General features: G+C 37.8%; 1 protein-coding gene across 24 annotated transcripts in view; it reads left to right on the top strand.

The window, feature by feature from the left end:
* KIAA1328 overlaps nucleotides 1–19,716 on the top strand; it is a 403,046-nt gene that overhangs the window by 238,632 nt on the left and 144,698 nt on the right. For 17 of the 24 annotated variants that reach the window (NR_136303.3, NR_136305.2, XM_047437678.1 and 14 more), the window contains one exon: nucleotides 16,367–16,474. The exons of the other annotated variants lie outside the window; for them this stretch is intronic. Coding sequence is in view for 15 of the 17 variants with exons in the window: in XM_047437678.1 (XP_047293634.1) it covers nucleotides 16,367–16,474 (108 nt within the window). In the remaining 2 variants the exon portion in view is untranslated. The remainder of the gene's footprint in view (nucleotides 1–16,366; nucleotides 16,475–19,716) is intronic. 24 annotated transcript variants of the gene reach the window in all.

A 19,716-nucleotide genomic window follows, 5' to 3' on the forward strand; every position in this document is an offset into this window, starting at 1 on the left:
TGTCTTGGCCAGGCTGGTCTTGAACTCCTGATCTCATGATCCACCCGCCTTGACCTCCCAAAGTGTTGAGATTACAGGCATGAGCTACCGCGCCTGCCCAAGTCCTGCCTGTTCTTTTAGCAATGTCTGTAGTTTGGAGAGCACAGTGTAAAATTGTTGTAATACTATAGCAGATGGGTAGAACCAGAGGTTTTTCTGGATCTTGGCTTACTCGAGATGCATATCAGTTATGTCTACTAAGTAAATTCCCCTTTATTCTTTGGAAGACTTCAAAGATTACCTTGTCTTCCAAATTGATAGCTTAGAATATCTATTTCTGAGCAGTCTGGTGTAATTTTTGCTGGGTTCCAAAGACATTTTAAAATGATCTTGCCATTATGCAGAATCCTTTGCTGTTTGATATCATTGTGGACAATATTAGGCATTAAGTAAAAGCTTGAGATTTCGGGGTGTGGAATTAGATTGTAAAGCAGTGAGATTAGCTGTCATCATTCCGAATTTATGTCTACCCACCATAATATAAAATATAACAAGTGATGGGAGTCTTCTAAATTCAACCCTTTCTGGCCATGAAGCATGACCTGTTGAATGATGAATTCTCATACACCTATCCACATGTAGGCTGTTCTTCCCTTAACAATTCTTCCTAAGAACAGTGCTTCAAAAGATAAATTGCTGTTTTATTATTATATAATGTTTCTTTACTCCACATCCTTGTTGGCATTTGGTATTCTCATTAATTTTTATTTTACCTCTTCTAATACGTGTATAGTGACATTTCATCGCAGTCTTAATTTGCATTTCACTAATGGCTAGTAATGTTGAACATCTTTTTGTGTGTGTGCACGTTTGCCCTCCTATCTTCTTCAGTAAATTCTCTCTTCAGTATTGCCCATATTCTAATTGGATCATTTGGGTGTTTTGCTGTTTGGAGAGTTCTTCATATCTTCTAGATATATGTCTTTTGTCAGATATGTGAATAGCAAATATTTTCTCCCAGTCTGTAACTTGTCTTTTCTTTTTTATCTTTAATTTTTTTTTCTTTTGGTAGAGACAGGCTCTCACTCTGTTGCCCAGGCTGGTCTTGAACTTAAATAATTATCCCACCTCAGCCTCCCAAAGTGCTGGAATTACAGCCACTGCTGGAATTTGAGCCACTGCTCCTGACTCTGCCTTTTTAGTTGCTTAATGAGATCTTTCATAGAGCAGAAATTTTTAATTTTAATGAAGTCCAATTTATCTTTTTTTTCTGTTACGGATTATATAAAGTTTTATCATAGGTGTTGAATTTTGTCAAATACCTTTTATGAATTTTGTCAAATATCTTTTATGATCATGTGATTTGTCTTATTTGCCCTGTTAATATGGTGAATTACATAGATTTTTAAATATTAAACCAGCCTTGCATCCCTGAAATAAACCCCACTTGGTCATAATGTATGATTTTTTAAAATGTTACTGAATTCCATTTACTAATATTTTGTTGAGGATATTTGCATCAGTTTTTTTTTTTTTTTTTGAGACAGAGTCTTGCTCTGTCACCCAGGCTGGAGTGCAGTGGCATGATCTTAGCCCACTACAACCTCCACCTACTGGGTTCAAGGGATTCTCATGCCTCAGCCTCCCAAGTAGCTGGGATTACAGGCGTGAGCCACTGCATCTGGCCTATTTACATTAGTTTTGATGAGGGATATTGTTCTGTTGTTTTCCTTTTTCTTTTTTCCCCTGTGTCCTTGTCTTGTTTCGGTATCAAGGTAATGCAGGCCTCATAAAATGAGTTGGGAGATGTTCGCTCTGCTTCTGCTTTCTGGAAGAGATTGTGTAGAATTGGTGTTAATTCTTCTTTAAATGTTTAGTAGAATTCTCCAGTGAAGCCATCTGGACCTGGAAATTTATTTTTTGAGACTTTTTAAATTCCAAGTTTAATTTCCTTAATACTTACAAGGCTATTCAAATTATCTATTGGATAATCTGCCTTGCCACAGGTTTGTTCATTTTAATTATCTTTCAAATAACTGGGTTTTTGTTTCATTTAGTTTTTGTTATTGTTTTTCTGTTTTCAATTTCATTGATTTCTGCTCTTTATTATTTTCTTCCTTCTGCTTGCTTTAAATTTACTTTGCTCTTCTTTTTTCCTAATTTGTTAAGGTGGAAGCATATTGGTTTGAGACTTTTTCACTTTTCTACTGGAAGCATTTAGTGCTCTAAATTCCCTTCTCGGCACTGATTCAGCTATGTCCCACAAATTTTGATATGTTGCATTTTCATGTTTATCCAATTCAGTGTGTTTTTGGGGTATCTTTTGAAACTTCCTATTTGACCCATGGGTTATTTAGAAGTGTTATATTTAGTTTCCAAGTTCTTAAAGATTTTCCTGTTTTCTGTTTCTGATTTCTAGTTTGATACCACTGTGCACACATAACACACTGTATGTTTTTCATTCTTTCAGACTTATTGAAGTTTGTTTAAGGACCCTAGGGCATGCTCTATCTTGATATATGTTCCATGATGTTTGAAAAGAATACGTATTCTGCTGTTGGGTGGTGTGTTCTGTAAATTGTATCCTATTATTTGACAGTATTGTTGAGTTCTTCTATATTCTTGCTGATTTTCTACCTACTTCTATCAATTATTGACAGAGGCGTTTTGAAATCTCCAAGTACAATTGTGATATATCTATTTTTCCTATTAGTTCTATTAGTATTTGTTTTAAATATTTATACTTCTGTTCTTTGCTGCTTATGCATTAAGTTTGCTATGTCTTCTTGGTAGATCGACCATCTTTTCACTATGTAATGTCTTTCTCTGTCCCCAGTAATTTTTTTTTTTTTTTTGAGACAGAGTCTCTGTCGCTGAGGTTGGAGTGCAGTGGCACCATGTTGGCTCACTGCAACCTCCGTCTCCTGGGTTCAAGCAATTCTCCTGCCTCAGCCTCCCGAATAGCTGGGATTACAGGTGCCCACCACCATGCCCGGCTAGTTTTTATATATGTATTTTTTAGTAGAGATGGGGTTTTACCATGTTGGCCAGGCTGGTCTCGAACTGCTAACCTCAGGTGATCCACCTACCTCGTAAATTTTTTATCTAAAGTCTCCTTTACCTGATGCTAATATAGCCATTCTTACTTTCATTTTATTAAGGTTTTCAAGATGTGTGTTCTTCCATCCTTTTACTTTCACCCTATATATGTTGTGATTTTGAATTCAGTTTCTTAGACACAGCATTTGAGTCAGCCAGTTTCTTTTAATTGGTATGTTATGTTCAGATATTTCCTTTTTTGTTTTTGATTTTTTTCTTCCTTTTTTTTTTTTTTTTTTTTTTTTTTTGGTTTGACAGGATCTCACTCTGTTGCCCATGCTGGAGTGCAGTGGCACGATCATGGCTCACTGCTGCAGCCTTGACCTCCTGGGCTCAGGTGATCCTCCTGCCTCAGTTTCCTGAGTAGCTGGAACTACAGGCACGTGCTGCCATGCCCAGCTAGTTTTTGCATTGTTTGTAGAGATAGGGTTTTGCCATTTTTCCCAGGCTGGTCTTGAGCTCCTGGGCTCAAGCAATCTGCCTACCTTATCCTTCCAAAGTGCTGGGATTACAGGCATAAGGCACCGCACCCGGCCCAGACACTTACTTTTAATGTAAAGTGTATATGATTTCCCATATGGTTGGCCCTCCATATCCCTGGAGTCAACCAACTGTGGATTGAAAATAGTTGGGGGCAATAAATAATGCAACAATAAAACTATTACAAATAAAAAATATAGTATAGCAAATATTTATATAGCATTGACATTATAGTAGGTATTACCAGTATTATAAGTAATGTAGAGATGATATAAATTATACCAGAGGATGTGCAAAGATTATATATACATACACATCACTTGAGCAAATCCATGGGATTTTGGTATGAGAGAAGGTCTGGGACTAATACCCTGAGGATACCAAGGAACCACTGTAGTGTTTTTGAGTATGTTTCTTTGAATAGATTTGTTTTATTGGTTGCTCTAAGTATTCTGTTAAACACACATAACTTATCAAAGTCTACTGGTGTCATATTTTATCAGTTTAAATTAAATGTAGAAATTTGATCTCCCTTTAAGTTCCCTTACCCTCCCCCATTTATAATTGTCTTAAAGAGTTTCTCATTGAGAATAGAACAAGAGAAATTTTACAATCTGAACAACAGAAATAGACTAAACCAAAAAAAGCCTAAACAGAGTCTCTCATTGAGAAACACATCATAAAATATTGTAAGTTTTGCTTAAATCATCAAATTTAAAATAAGTTACAGAATAATTTAGAAAAGTGAAGAGAGGAAAAATCTATTATATTTATCTGTGTTTCTATTTTTTTCTATTGTTCTTCCTTTCTGATGTTCCAAGATTTCCTCTTTTATCTTTTTGTTGTTTTGTTTTTAGATCTCTGTTTATTCTTTAAGGTAAGCCTGCTGTAGTTTTGCTTCATATGAAAATGTTCTTATTTTCACATCACTTCTAAAGGGTACTACCATTGCTGAATATAGGATTCTGAGTTGACAGGGTTGCTTTTTTTTTTTCTATCAGCACTTGACAAATGTGGCATTTTCTTCTCTCCACTGATGTTTTCCACAGTCATTTGCACTATTTTTCTCTATACATAAAATATAATTTCTCTTTTGCTTTTTAAAGATTTTTTTGTCTTTAGTTTTAAGAAATTTTACTGTGATATGTCTTGACATGGATTTCTTTATCCTATAAGGACTTTGATCAGCTTGATTTATAGTTTTATGTCTTTTGCCAAATTTAGGAAGTTTTCTTCCTAAATTATTTTTTTCTAATACTTTTTGAACCCCATGCCCTCTTCTGGCTAGCTAATGACATAAATTTACAATCTTTTGTTATGGCTCCACATTTTTTTAAATGTTACTTTAAGTTCCGGGATACCTGTGCAGAGCGTACAGGTTTATTACATAGGTATACGGGTACCATGGTGGTTTGCTGCACATACTGACCCATTCCCTAAGTTCCTTCCCCTTGCCCCTGACTCCCCAACAGGCTCTGGTGTGTGTTGTTCCCCTCCCTGTGTCCGTGTGTTCTCATTGTTCAACTCCCACTTATGAGTGAGAACATGCGGTATTTGATTTTCTGTTCCTGTGTTAGTTTGCTGAGGATGATGGCTTCCAGCTTCATCCATGTCCCTGCAAAGGACATGATCTCTGGCTAGCCATATGCAGAAAACTGAAACTGGACCTCTTCCTTACACCTTATACAAAAATTAACTCAAGATGGACTAAAGACTTAATGTAAAACCCAAAACCATAAAAACCCTAGAAGAAAACCTAGGCAATACCATTCAGGATATAGGCATGGGCAAAGACTTCATGATGAAAATGCTGAAAGCAATTGCAACAGAAGCCAAAATTGACAAATGGGATCTAATTAAACTAAAGAGCTTCTGCACAGCAAAAGAAACTGTCATCAGAGTGAACAGGTAACCCACACAATGGGAGAAAATTTTTGCAATCTACCCATCTGAAAAAGGTCTAATATCCAGAATTTACAAGGACTTAAACAAATTTACAAGAGGAAAAACAACCCCATCAAAAAGTGGGCAAAGCATATGAACAGACACTTCTCAAAAGAAGATATTTATGTGGCCAACAAACATATGAAAAAAAGCTCAACATCATATTAGAGAAATGCAAATCAAAACCACAATGCGATACCATCTCACGCCAGTCAGAATGGCAATTATTAAAAGGTTCCACATGTCTCTGACATTCTGTTTAGGCTTTTTTGTGTATATTTAGTCTATTTCTCTTTGTTGTTCAGACTGTACAATTTCTCTTGTTCTATTCTCAAATTTCTGGTTCTTTCATTTGTCCTCTTCATTCTGTTTTTGAGCAAGTCCATTGAGTTTTCAAATTTTACTTATTGTCTTTTTCAGTTGTCTTAAGTATTTTCCAGAGCTAAAATTTCCACTTAGTTCTTCTTTATGTCTTCTCTTTATTTTCAGAGACTTGCTGTTCTTTTCCTTTCAAAGAGCGTATTCATAAGTGCTTTTTGCAGCATTTTTATGATGCATGCTTTACTATTCTTATCTGATAATACCAACGTTTATGTGATCTTGACACTAGTTTCTGCTGATTGTCTTTTCTTATTCAAGTTGAGATTATCTTCATTTGTGGCATGATGAGTGATTTTTATTGCATTCTGGACATTTTCAGTTTATGGTGTGAGATACTGATCTTGGTTCTCTAACACCACCCCAGTGAAGATTTAAGATGTCTCATTGAACCATTGGAAAATGGACGTCTAGCCTCCCACTGGACCTTTGCTGGTGGGAATGGGGAAAATGAGACCACAGTTTTTCCCATGTTTGGCTGTAGTAGGACAGTTATTGTCTAAAAGTTTTTTGTCGATATAGACTGCTCCTTTCCTGATCCTTTAGACAGAGAGAGCAGGCTGTTTTTTCCTCTATGACTTTGGAGTTTCTAGGTTGCCAGCTTCTCCCACATTCAAGGTTTCTAAGGCAAAAACAAAGCCCGGGAAACTCACCACATTGTTGTTTTTCTGCCCCTGTTTCTCACCTTTTACAGTATTCTTATGTTTGTTTCAAGTATAATGTCTAAGATTTTTAGTTGTACAGGGGTAGACAGAAGTGCAGCTATTTCTCCCTGTCACTTTCAGGTACACCAATCAGACGTAGATTTGGTCTTTTCACACAGTCCCATATTTCTTGGAGGCTTTGTTCATTTCCTTTTATTCTTTTTTCTCTTAACTTCCCTTCTCACTTCATTTCATTCATTTCATCTTCCATCACTGATACCCTTTCTTCCAGTTGATCGCATCGGCTCCTGAGGCTTCTGCATTGTTCACGTAGTTCTTGAGTCTTGGCTTTCAGCTCCATCAGCTCCTTTAAGCACGTCTCTGTATTGGTTATTCTAGTTATACATTCATCTAAATTTTTTTCAAAGTTTTCAACTTCTTTGCCTTTGGTTTGAATTTCCTCCTGTAGCTCAGAGTAGTTTGATCATCTGAATCCTTCTCTCAACTCGTCAAAGTCATTCTCTGTCCAGCTTTGTTCCGTTGCTGGTGAGGAGCTGCGTTCCTTTGGAGGAGGAGAGGTGCTCTGCTTTTTAGAGTTTCCAAGAACCAAGTTGGAAAACACTCTGCAGGATATTATCCAGGAGAACTTCCCCAATCTAGCAAGGCAGGCCAACATTCAGATTCAGGAAATACAGAGAACGCCACAAAGATACTCCTCGAGAAGAGCAACTCCAAGACACATAATTGTCAGATTCACCAAAGTTGAAATGAAGGAAAAAATGTTAAGGGCAGCCAGAGAGAAAGGTTGGGTTACCCACAAAGGGAAGCCCATCAGACTAACAGCGGATCTCTTGGCAGAAACTCTACAAGCCAGAAGAGAGTGGGGGCCAATATTCAACATTCTTAAAGAAAAGAATTTTCAACCCAGAATTTCATATCCAGCCAAACTAAGCTTCATAAGTGAAGGAGAAATAAAATCCTTTACAGACAAGCAAATGCTGAGAGATTTTCTCACCACCAGACTTGCCCTAAAAGAGCTCCTGAAGGAAGCACTAAACATGGAAAGGAACAACTGGTACCAGCTGCTGCAAAATCATGCCAAAATGTAAAGACCATCAAGGCTAGGAAGAAACTGCATCAACTAACGAGCAAAATAACCAGCTAACATCATAATGACAGGAACAAATTCACACATAACAATATTAACTTTAAATGTAAATGGACTAAATGCTCCAATTAAAAGACACAGACTGGCAAATTGGATAAAGAGTCAAGACCCATCAGTGTGCTGTTTTCAGGAAACCCATCTCACATGCAGAGACACACATAGGCTCAAAATAAAAGGATGGAGGAAGATCTACCAAGCAAATGGAGAACAAAAAAAGGCAGAGGTTGCAATCCTAGTCTCTGATAAAACAGACTTTAAACCAACAAAGATCAAAAGAGACAAATAAGGCCATTACATAATGGTAAAGGTATCAATTCAACAAGAAGAGCTAACTATCCTAAATATATATGCACCCAATACAGGAGCACCCAGATTCATAAAGCAAGTCCTGAGTGACCTACAAAGAGACTTAGACTCCCACAGAATAATAATGGGAGACTTTAACAACCCACTGTCAACATTAGACAGATCAACGAGACAGAAAGTTAACAAGGATACCCAGGAATTGAACTCAGCTCTGCACCAAGCGGACCTAATAGACATCTACAGAACTCTCCACCCCAAATCAACAGAATATACATTTTTTTCAGCACCACACCACACCTATTCCAAAATTGACCACATAGTTGGAAGTAAAGCTCTCCTCAGCAAATGTAAAAGATCAGAAATTATAACAAACTGTCTCTCAGACCACAGTGCAATCAAACTAGAACTCAGAATTAAGAAACTCACTCAAAACCACTCAACTACATGGAAACTGAACAACCTGCTCCTGAATGACTACTGGGTACATAACGAAATGAAGGCAGAAATAAAGATGTTCTTTGAAACTAATGAGAACAAAGACACAACATACCAGAATCTCTGGGACACATTCAAAGCAGTGTGTAGAGGGAAATTTATAGCACTAAATGCCCACAAGAGAAAACAGGAAAGATCCAAAATTGACACCCTAACATCCCAATTAAAAGAACTAGAAAAGCAAGAGCAAACACATTCAAAAGCTAGCAGAAGACTAGAAATAACTAAAATCAGAGCAGAATTGAAGGAAATAGAGACACAAAAAACCCTTCAAAAAATTAATGAATCCAGGAGCTGGTTTTTTGAAAGGATCAACAAAATTGATAGACCGCTAGCAAGACTAATAAAGAAGAAAAGAGAGAAGAATCAAATAGATGCAATAAAAAATGATCAAGGGGATATCACCACCAATCCCACAGAAATACAAACTACCCTCAGAGACTACTACAAACACCTCTACGCAAATAAACTAGAAAATCTAGAAGAAATGGATAAATTCCTCGACACATACACCCTCCCAAGACTAAACCAGGAAGAAGTTGAATCTCTGAATAGACCAATAACAGGATCTGAAATTGTGGCAATAATCAATAGCTTACCAACCAAAAAGAGTCCAGGACCAGACGGATTCACAGCCGAATTCTACCAGAGATACAAGGAGGAACTGGTACCATTCCTTCTGAAACTATTCCAATCAATAGAAAAAGAAGGAATCCTCCCTAACTCATTTTATGAGGCCAGCATCACCCTGATACCAAAGCCAGGCAGAGACACAACCAAAAAAGAGAATTTTAGACCAATATCCTTGATGAACATTGCTGCAAAAATCCTCAATAAAATACTGGCAAACCGAATCCAGCAGCACATCAAAAAGCTTATCCACCATGATCAAGTGGGCTTCATCCCTGGGATGCAAGGCTGGTTCAATATACGTAAATCAATAAATGTAATCCAGCATGTAAACAGAACCAAAGACAAAAACTGCACGATTATCTCAATAGATGCAGAACAGGCCTTTGACAAAATTCAACAAGGCTTCATGCTAAAAACTCAATAAATTAGGTATTGATGGGACGTATCTCAAAATAATAAGAGCTATCTATGACAAACCCACAGCCAATACCATACTGAATGGGCAAAAACTGGAAGCATTCCCTCTGAAAACTGGCACAAGACAGGGATGCCCTCTCTCACCACTCCTATTCAACATAGTGTTGGAAGTTCTGGCCAGGGCAATTAGGCAGGAGAAGGAAATAAAGGGTATTCAATTTGGAAAAGAGGAAGTCAAATTGTCCCTGTTTGCAGATGAAATGATTGTATATTTAGAAAACTCATCGACTCAGCCCAAAATCTCCTTAAGCTGATAAGCAACTTCAGCAAAGTCTCAGGATACAAAATCAATGTGCAAAAATCACAAGCATTCTTATACACCAGTAACAGACAGAGAGCCAAATCATGAGTGAACTCCCATTCACAATTGCTTCAAAGAGAATAAAATACCTAGGAATCCAACTTACAAGGGATGTGAAGGACCTCTTCAAGGAGAACTACAAACCACTGCTCAATGAAATAAAAGAGGATACAAAGAAATGGAAGAACATTCCATGCTCATGGGTAGGAAGAATCAATATTGTGAAAATGGCCGTACTGCCCAAGGTAATTTATAGATTCAATGCCATTCCCATCAACCTACCAATGACTGTCTTCACAGAATTGGAAAAAACTACTTTAAAGTTCATATGGAACCAAAAAAGAGCCCACATTGCCAAGTCAGTCCTAAGCCAAAAGAACAAAGCTGGAGGCATCATGCTACCTGACTTCAAAGTATACTACAAGGCTGCAGTAACCAAAACAGCATGGTACTGGTACCAAAACAGAGATATAGATCAATGGAACAGAACAGAGCCCTCAGAAATAACGCCACATATCTACAACTATCTGATCTTTGACAAATCTGAGAAAAACAAGCAATGGGGAAAGGATTCCCTATTTAATAAATGGTGCTGGGAAAACTGGCTAGCCATATGTAGAAAGCTGAAGCTGGATCCCTTCCTTACACCTTATACAAAAATTAATTCAAGATGGATTAAAGACTTAAACGTTAGACCTAAAACCATAAAAACCCTAGAAGAAAACCTAGGCAATACCATTCAGGACATAGGCATGGGCAAGGACTTCATGTCGAAAACACCAAAAGCAATGGCAACAAAAGCCAAAATTGACAAATGGGATCTAATTAAACTAAAGAGCTTCTGCACAGCAAAAGAAACTACCATCAGAGTGAACAGGCAACCTACAAAATGGGAGAAAATTTTCACAACCTACTCATCTGACAAAGGGCTAATATCCAGAATCTACAATGAACTCAAACAAATTTACAAGAAAAAAACAAACAACCCCATCAAAAAGTGGGCAAAGGACATGAACAGACACTTCTCAAAAGAAGACATTTATGCAGCCAAAAAACACATGAAAAAATGCTCACCATCACTGGCCATCAGAGAGATGCAAATCAAAACCACAATGAGATACCATCTCACACCAGTTAGAATGGCAATCATTAAAAAGTCAGGAAACAACAGGTGCTGGAGAGGATGTGGAGAAATAGGAACACTTTTACACTGTTGGTGGGACTGTAAACTAGTTCAACCATTGTGGAGGTCAGTGTGGCGATTCCTCAGAGATCTAGAACTAGAAATACCATTTGACCCAGCAATCCCATTACTGGGTATATACCCAAAGGACTATAAATCATTCTGCTATAAAGACACATGCACACGTATGTTTATTGCGGCACTATTCAAAATAGCAAAGACTTGGAACCAACCCAAATGTCCAACAATGATAGACTGGATTAAGAAAATGTGGCACATATACACCATGGAATACTATGCAGCCATAAAAAATGATGAGTTCATGTCCTTTGTAGGGACATGGATGAAGCTGGAAACCATCATTCTCAGCAAACTATCGCAAGGACAGAAAACCAAACACTGCATGTTCTCACTCTTAGGTGGGAATTGAACAATGAGAACACATGGACACAGGAAGGGGAACATCACACAGCGGGGCCTGTTGTGGGGTGGGGGGAGAGGGGAGGGATAGCTTTAGGAGATATACCTAATGCTAAATGACGAGTTAATGGGTGCAGCACACCAGCATGGCACATGTATACATATGTAACTAACCTGCACATTGTGCACATGTACCCTAAAACTTAAAGTATAATAATAATAAAATAAAATAAAAATAAAAATAAAAAAAAGAAGTGCAGCTATTTCATCATGTCTCAGAACTGTAAGTCCCTAGAGATTTTTATTAAATAATGGAAAGCAAATACATATGTAAAAGTTCAGGCCAGGTGTGGTGGCTCATGCCTGTAATTCCAGCACTTTGGGAGGCCGAGGTGGTGGATCACCTGGGATCAGGAGTTTGAGACCAGCCTGGCCAACATGGTGAAACCCTGTCTCTACTAAAATACAAAAATTAGCCAGGCATGGTGGTGGGCGCCTGTAATCCTAGCTACTCAGGATGCTTAGGCACGGGAATCGCTTGAGTGCGGGAGGTGGAGGTTGCAGTGAGCTGAGATTGGGCCACTGCACTCTAGCCTCGGTGACAGAGCAAGGCTGTCTCAAAAAAAAAAAAAAAAACAGTTCAATAAGTCTAATGATTTCTAATTTTCTTCCAATTTCATTTATGCAGTAACTATGTCAATTAAATTTTATCAAGTTATATTTTATTATTTTTATTCAAACGTTAGATTTTTGTGGATTGAACAAAAGTACTTAAGAAAGCAAGATGACCAGGAAGGTTCACAGTATACTCTGGTGGTAGGCAGAGAATGCCTGTTTTCTGTCATTACCTTTGAAATTTGTTACTTTTTTTAACTTCTAAAAATGTATACCATCTGGAAAACTACTCACATAAAATAGTTTGAGATCTTTCCAGAACCCAGATCTCTTTATGCCAATTGTCAGTTTAAGCTGACCATGTTCTCATCTTGTGTGTTGAGTTCCTTTACTTGAAAGTGGTTGGCATTTGACTACAATGCAACCTTTGGGTTAGATGGGAATTATCCTTGGGAAGAGTTATTTGCTTTCTGGCTTTAGGAGCCCTAATGTTTTACTTTATTTACTTTGGGTCATTTTCAGTCTTCTTGGTTAGCCTTTGTGAAGGAAATATATCCAAACCATCAGACAGTACCCAGCTGTAACACTGGCCACCTTTAGAACTAGTCATGCTGGGCCGGGCGCGGTGGCTCACGCCTATAATCCCAGCACTTTGGGAGGCCGAGGCGGGTGGATCACGAGGTCATGAGGTCGACACCATCCTGGCTAACACGGTGATACCCCATCTCTACTAAAAATACAAAAATTAGCCGGGCATGGTGGCAGGCACCTGTAATCCCAGCTACTCGGGAGGCTGAGGCAGGAGAATTGCTTGAACCTGGGAGACGGAGGTTGCAGTGCAGTGAGCCGAGATCGCGCCACTTCACTCCAGCCTGGGTGACAGAGCGAGACTCTGTCTGAAAAAAAAAAAAAGAAAAAAAGAACTAATCATGCTGGTTTCTGGTGCCTTTGTTCATCCCAGTCGTAGTTCTGCCATTTCATGTATCCTTATGTTGCTCTCATCCTAAAACAAAGTTCTTTCCAATCAAGACAGTAAAAAAAAAAAATCCAAATCCAAGTGAGATGCCCGGAGAAACAGAGACTCAAGACATACATTGATTGATTGGTTGATTGATTGATTGACGGAGTTTGGCTCTGTCACCCAAGCTGGAGTGCAGTGGCGTGATCTCGACTCACTGCAACCTCTGGCTCCCAGGTTCAAGCAATTCTCCTGCCTCAGCCTCCCCGAGTAGCTGGGATTGCAGGCACGCACCACCACACCAGGCTAATTTTTGTATTTTTAGTAGAGACAGGGTTTCACCATGTTGGCCAGGCTGGTCTCAAACTCCTGATCTCAAGTGATCCACCCTCCTTGACCTCCCAAAGTGCCGGGATTACAGGCATGAGCCACCGTGCCCCGCCAGGACATTTTTAATTGAACAGCTTTCACCTCTAGTTATCCTGCCTACTGCCACCATGTTTTATCATAGTTAGCTGGTGAAACCCAGAACTAGGACCATAAATCTATCCATTTAATTAATCAGTATCACAATTTATATTTCTAGGCTGAAAGTTGCCCTACTCTTTGGCCTGCTTTTTAGGTTTATGTAATTTTATCACTTTGGGTCATCTGAAACTCAACCTTCTGCACATTAATATCATATAACAAGAATATCTATCTCAAATGAATCCTCCTAAGACATTGCTTTTATTGTGCCACTTCTGAATTTTAAAAACCCATGATAATTTTGTATTAGGTTATGTTTATTCAACCTAGTATTTGAAGCCTTTTATAATTTGGAACCACTTCTCTACCCATTTGTCCCACTTTTCCTAAGAAATAAAGTTTTTTTCCCAAAAGGCAGATTTGTTTCCTTGAGATCTTTTCAGTGCATCCTTCATGTTTCTTTCTCAAGCCATACCTTTTCCTCCGATTTAAATATCTCTGTCCTACTTTTCCATTTATCCACACCCCGACTCTTCATTATAACACGGTCAAAATCCCACTAAAAATTTCTGGGTCTGGTTTCTTTTTCACATAACTAATAATTTGTTATTGAATATGTCCAAAATCAGCACCTTATTGTTTAATGTGTAATGTTGTTCTGTAATTTAGTTTCATTCTCCTTGTCTGAGCACATATTTACTAAGCCCTCTACTCTGCACAAAACTCTATGTGAGGAGTATTAAAATGAGCAAGACTTGATCTTGGCTTGGTATATTACACATAATCTCACGCTTTTTATATATATATACTTTTAACTTTTATATATCTTTACTAAGCTTGTCATTTACCTGCCCCAAGGATTTTTTTTTTTTTTTTTTTTTTGGATACAGCATCTCACTCTGTCACCCAGGCTGAAGTGCAGTGGTGTGATCTTGGCTCACTGCAACCTCTGTCTCCTGGGTTCAAGCGATTCTCCTGCCTCAGCCTCCCAAGTAGCTGGGATTACAGGCACCTGCCACCACGCACAGCTAATTTTTGTATTTTTAGTAGAAATGGGATTTCACCATGTTGGCCAGGCTGGTCTCAAACTCCTTACCTCAGGTGATCTGCCCGCCTCGGTCTCCCAAAGTGCTGGGATTACAGGCGTGAGCCACCCCGCCCGGCCCCAGGGAATTTCACTTCAACTAAATTCATGAATTAATATCTGCTATACACAAGCTGTTGTTTATAGTGCTCAGGATGTTCAGGAAAAATATTGGGAAGGCAATCTAATTGAATACCAAATGAGTAGCACAGAATTGTTATAGTAGTTCAGAATCTTGGGACGAGCTTGTCATTTTAGAATAAATTTGGCATGACATTGGCATTTACTTAAATTGTAATTAATGATTCATTCTGCCACCTTGTTACTACATGATTGCCGATAACAACTTTCGAAAGGGTATTATTTTTGTGAGTCACTTTCCAGACTGATCAGAGAAGATTTATCCAGAATATTATTCATGATTGTGCCAAGAACCACCTTAAATCATTTTTGGAGCAAAGTAGTGTATGTATAATGAATAAAAATCAAGGCTAATGATAAATATTTACCTTTGTCTCCCACTCTAACAATATGCCTTAATACATGTACTCTCTACCTAACTGTAATAAAATTCAGTGTTCACCAGTGAAAAACGTGTCACCTTGAGAGAGTTATGTGCCTGGCCCAGCCCTCACTTTAGTAATTTATAAATAGGTAATGGTAAAAGTAACTACATTATAGAGTGGTTGTGAGGATCAGTACAATAGTATATATAAAATGTACTCCTTGAAGGTAGTTGCTGTCATCAAGATCATCACTACTGCTGTAGAGGCTACTGTGACTGATATTATTGCTGCCATTTTTTCACTTTTCTCATAATTCCCTGATTTGGGCATTTTGCATCTACATTTACCTACCTATGTGTCACCACCAAATATTAGTCTTAAGCTGTAAGCTCCTGAAGGGAATTAATCCATGTACTTTGTACATTAATTCCAACCAGTTAGTTGGAATTATAGGCATGTCTTTTGACAATGATGAAAATGACAATATTGTTTTAATAATGTTTTTACACTTCAGAGTTTGATTTCATAGTTAAAGAATATACTTTTACAGATAACCAGAGAACATTTCTTAAAAGCCGAGAGAATAAGTGTCACATATTTGATACCAGTGATTAACACTCAACTCCCGGTAGAAAACCTTTTGGCTGAGTTTTTCCATGGCTTTCCCTCCTCAGTACATGTCAGTGTAGGGCTAAGTAAGCATTGATGGATACAGTGTCTTCCAGTTCTTTTGGAAGAATTCATCTTTGACTCAGGGAAAATATGTTGGTTAGTGAGCTGTACCCCTAATTCTTTGAAATGTCAGTATGAGAAGTGGGTGCTTCCCATATAAATGTTGGTCAGGGTCAGTGATAATTAGAGTTACTAGAATTCACATTGAGACACTGGTGATCGCAGTACACTTGCTTACAATGAATAGAGGGAAGAATTAACTTTCTGCGGCAGAGATTTAAAGTGCTCCTATTGAAGTATCTATAATTTTGAATTTTTAAATGATATTCTAACCAACTTAATCTTCCCTACCTTTCCTTTAAAGAAAATTTAAGTTACTATGAAATCAATTTGTGTTTGTTTATGTATATTTAAGAATTACTCATTTATTTTTGACTAAGTTTTAATTGGAAAATAATTTCTGGGGATCTAGCTGAAAGAGCATGGTTTTCCAAAATTTATCATTCAGGTTATCAGGCTTCACAAGATTAGAAATTTTTTAAATTAATTTTTACAGGTTAAAAGCTCAGGCTCTGTTTAAGTCGAGAGAACTGGTTGCTGAAAAACAGCTTACTAAACCCCAAGAACTCAAACTGGATATGAATGGCAGTGACTCTGGACCAAGGTAAACCTGAAGTCTCAGTTAAAACAAGAATCTTAAGGGCATAAATATTTAGGATACGTTTGGTATACTTTTATAGCTCTATGTTGATTAATACAGTTTTGTGACCATATGAATACGTACATTCCTGTTATACAATTTTGAAAAATATAGAAAAATATGAAAAACAAAATAAAAATCATTCATAATCCTACAACTTTGAGAGAATCTTTTGAGCCCTTTTCTACTATTTCTTTTTTGTTTTTTGTTTTTTTTTTTTTTTTGGTGCGGTATTATAGTCTATATTGAGTATTAAGGATTATGCTTATACAGAATTTTATGTTACTTTTTTCACTGTATCATATTTTCTGATCTTATTAAATACTCTGTGAAAACATTAATTCATTCAACAAATACGTATTGCTTGGCAGCTGTGCTCAATATTTATCTATTAGTCTGTTATCGGATAATACAGGGTTTTGCTATTATAAATTTTGCCTTGAAGAACATTTCTCTAAATAAATGTTTTAAGTTTATCTCTACCTATTTCCTTGTTACAGATTCCTGTAAGTGGAATTACTAGTACAAAGTATATATGAATCTTTTTACGATCCTTGATTCACATTGCCAAACTGTTTTGTGTGATTGCTGGCCTAGCGGCTAGGTCTGCAACAATCAATCTGGATCCTGGAGCTAAAGGGTAGGCCTTGAACCTGGGTCCTGGATCCTGGGTCTGTGGAGCCAGCCCAGCACTGGATTCTATGCGGTCAGGCCTAGGTCTGCCTCAGGTTGAGACTATAAAGACTGACCTAGCATGGGGCAGGTCTGGTGCCTGAGGTCAGGGATGCCAATCTAGACTGGGGCGGGGGTAAACTCGGGCTTTGTGGACTGACCTGGCTCTGGGCTGGTCTGGAATCTGAGGCAGGCCTGGAATTTGGAATAGCAGGATCTCACCTGGTGCTGAGGCAGGTCTGAATGCTCATTATGTAGTATTGGCCTGGAGTCTGGGACCGGGATGGGCTGCCCAACGCTAGCTTTTACTGAGGTGGGCCTGATGTTAGCGTCTGAGGCAAAGTCTGGTTCTCACTTCCCTCTCTTCCCTGCCCAAACAGAGGGTATCTCTCTCTACTGTGTTGCCAGAGTTTGTGGAAAGGGTGCTGCCAGTAATGTAAGTCTGTTCTTCCTACCCTTTTGAATACATTCCTTCTTATTTTTGTGCTACAGCCTGGTGCTATAATCTCTCACCTGGTTTACATAGCTCTTAAAAAGGTATTTTTTTAGGTGGATAGTTATTCAAATTGATGTTTCTGATGGGGGAGATGGGAGGGGCAGGGACGAGTCCTTGAAAGTCCTATTCTGCCATCTTGCTGACGTCCCTCTTCCTACAAGCAGTTTTGACTGTTTTAGATGTTTCCTCTTTTATCTGTTCCTTCTAGTATTTATATCCATATTTCTGAATAACAGACTTATGTAGTCATTAAGTATTGACTTTCTGCTATGGAAATTGATGATTTAGCTCTCACTGATAACCATCTATTTGCTCCCTCCTTTTCTCCCTTTTATCTTCCTCTCTTTACCTTTCTTTCTCCCTTTTTCCCTCTCCTCCCTCTCTCCATATTTCTCTCTACATATATAACATAGCCCCACACGTGCTGTTTCCTTCCTTCTGTCCTCTCAATATATCTATATCAAAATATTTATAAGATTGTAAATATTTTATGCACAGCTGAACTATCTACTATTCTTAAATTTAATTTTGTATAATTATTTTCTCTGGAGTTTAAAAATGCCTTATTCAGCACAGAAAGACAAATACAGTGTGATCTCTCTTATATGTAGAATCCAAAAAGGTTGAATCAATGGTCACCAGGGCCTGGGGGGTTGGGGGCCTGGTCTTTGCTCAAAGACTGCAAAGTTTCAGTGAGCTTGAATAAGTTCTGGAGGTCTGTTGTATAACATGGTAACTATGGCTATAATAACATGTCATATAGTTGAATATTACTAAGAGGGTAGATGCTAAGTGTTCTCACCACAAAAATATATAAATATGTAAGGTGATGGATTTGTTAACCAGCTTGATTTAATCATTTTGCAATGAATACATACAGTATATCAAAACATCACTTTGTATACAATAAATATATACAGTGTTTACCAATTACAATTTACAAGATATCCCTCCTGGAGACTTCCATAAAATCCTGCTCTAGTATGAACTTTATTATTCTCTAGGCATTTTGTCTAGTGATTTCATCTGAAATTTCCTTACCTATCATCCTGGAAATTTTCTCTTTTTTATCTTATATTCCTTTTTTCCTGGATCACATGCTATCCTCTTTTTGGTTTATACCCTTTCATCTTACTAAAACATGCGCTGCAGTAGCTTACTGTAGGAGTGCAGAGGCAGTAATCTTTTTGTGTCACACCTCTGAAAAATGTCTTTAGTCAATCTTCATGTTTAATTTATAGTTTAGCTTTATATAGCATTCTGACTTAGTAGTTTTCCTCAGAAAGGATTGAAGGTTGTATTCTATTACCTTCTAGTTTCTAGTATTGCCATTAAGAAGTGTGTTGCAGTCTGATTCTTGATCTTTTTATGTGACCTATTCCCCATCACAACTATTAGGACTTATCTTTCTCTAAAATTCTAAAAATGTATGCTGATATGCATAAGTTACACCTTTTTCCATTCATGCAGAATCTTTTAACTGGCAAACTTTCTTCAATTTGGAGAAATTTCCTTTGCTAATGTATTGTCTCTTTTGAGAACTCATCTTACTGAGATGTTGACTCTGTTAGAATAAACTCTGATTTTCTTATTTTTCTCTCCTATATTTCATATCAGGTTTTTTTGTTTGTTTCTTTGTTTGAGACAGGGTTTTACTCTGTTGCCCAGGCTCAAGTTCAGCGGCACAATCACAGCTCATTGCATTCTTGATCTCCTGGGCTCAGTGATCCTCCCCACTCAGCCTCCCAGGTAGCTAGGACTGCAGGTGCATGCCACTATACCCAACCAATTTTTTGTATTTTTTTTAGAGACGGGGTTTTGCCATGTTACCCAGGCTTGTCTCAAACTCCTGGGCTCAAGTAATCTACCCGCCTCAGCTTCCCAAAGAGCTGGGATTATAGGCATGAGCTACTGCACCCAGTGTTAGAATTCTTAATTTCTGAAAACATCTTATTCTTAGAAAGGCCATTTTTTAAAATAAGAACTCATTCTCATTTTACATATGCAATGTTTTTGTCTTATCTCTGAGAATATTCGT

Source organism: Homo sapiens, chromosome 18 (assembly GCF_000001405.40).
Source record: "Homo sapiens chromosome 18, GRCh38.p14 Primary Assembly".
Taxonomy (NCBI): Eukaryota; Metazoa; Chordata; class Mammalia; order Primates; family Hominidae; genus Homo; species Homo sapiens.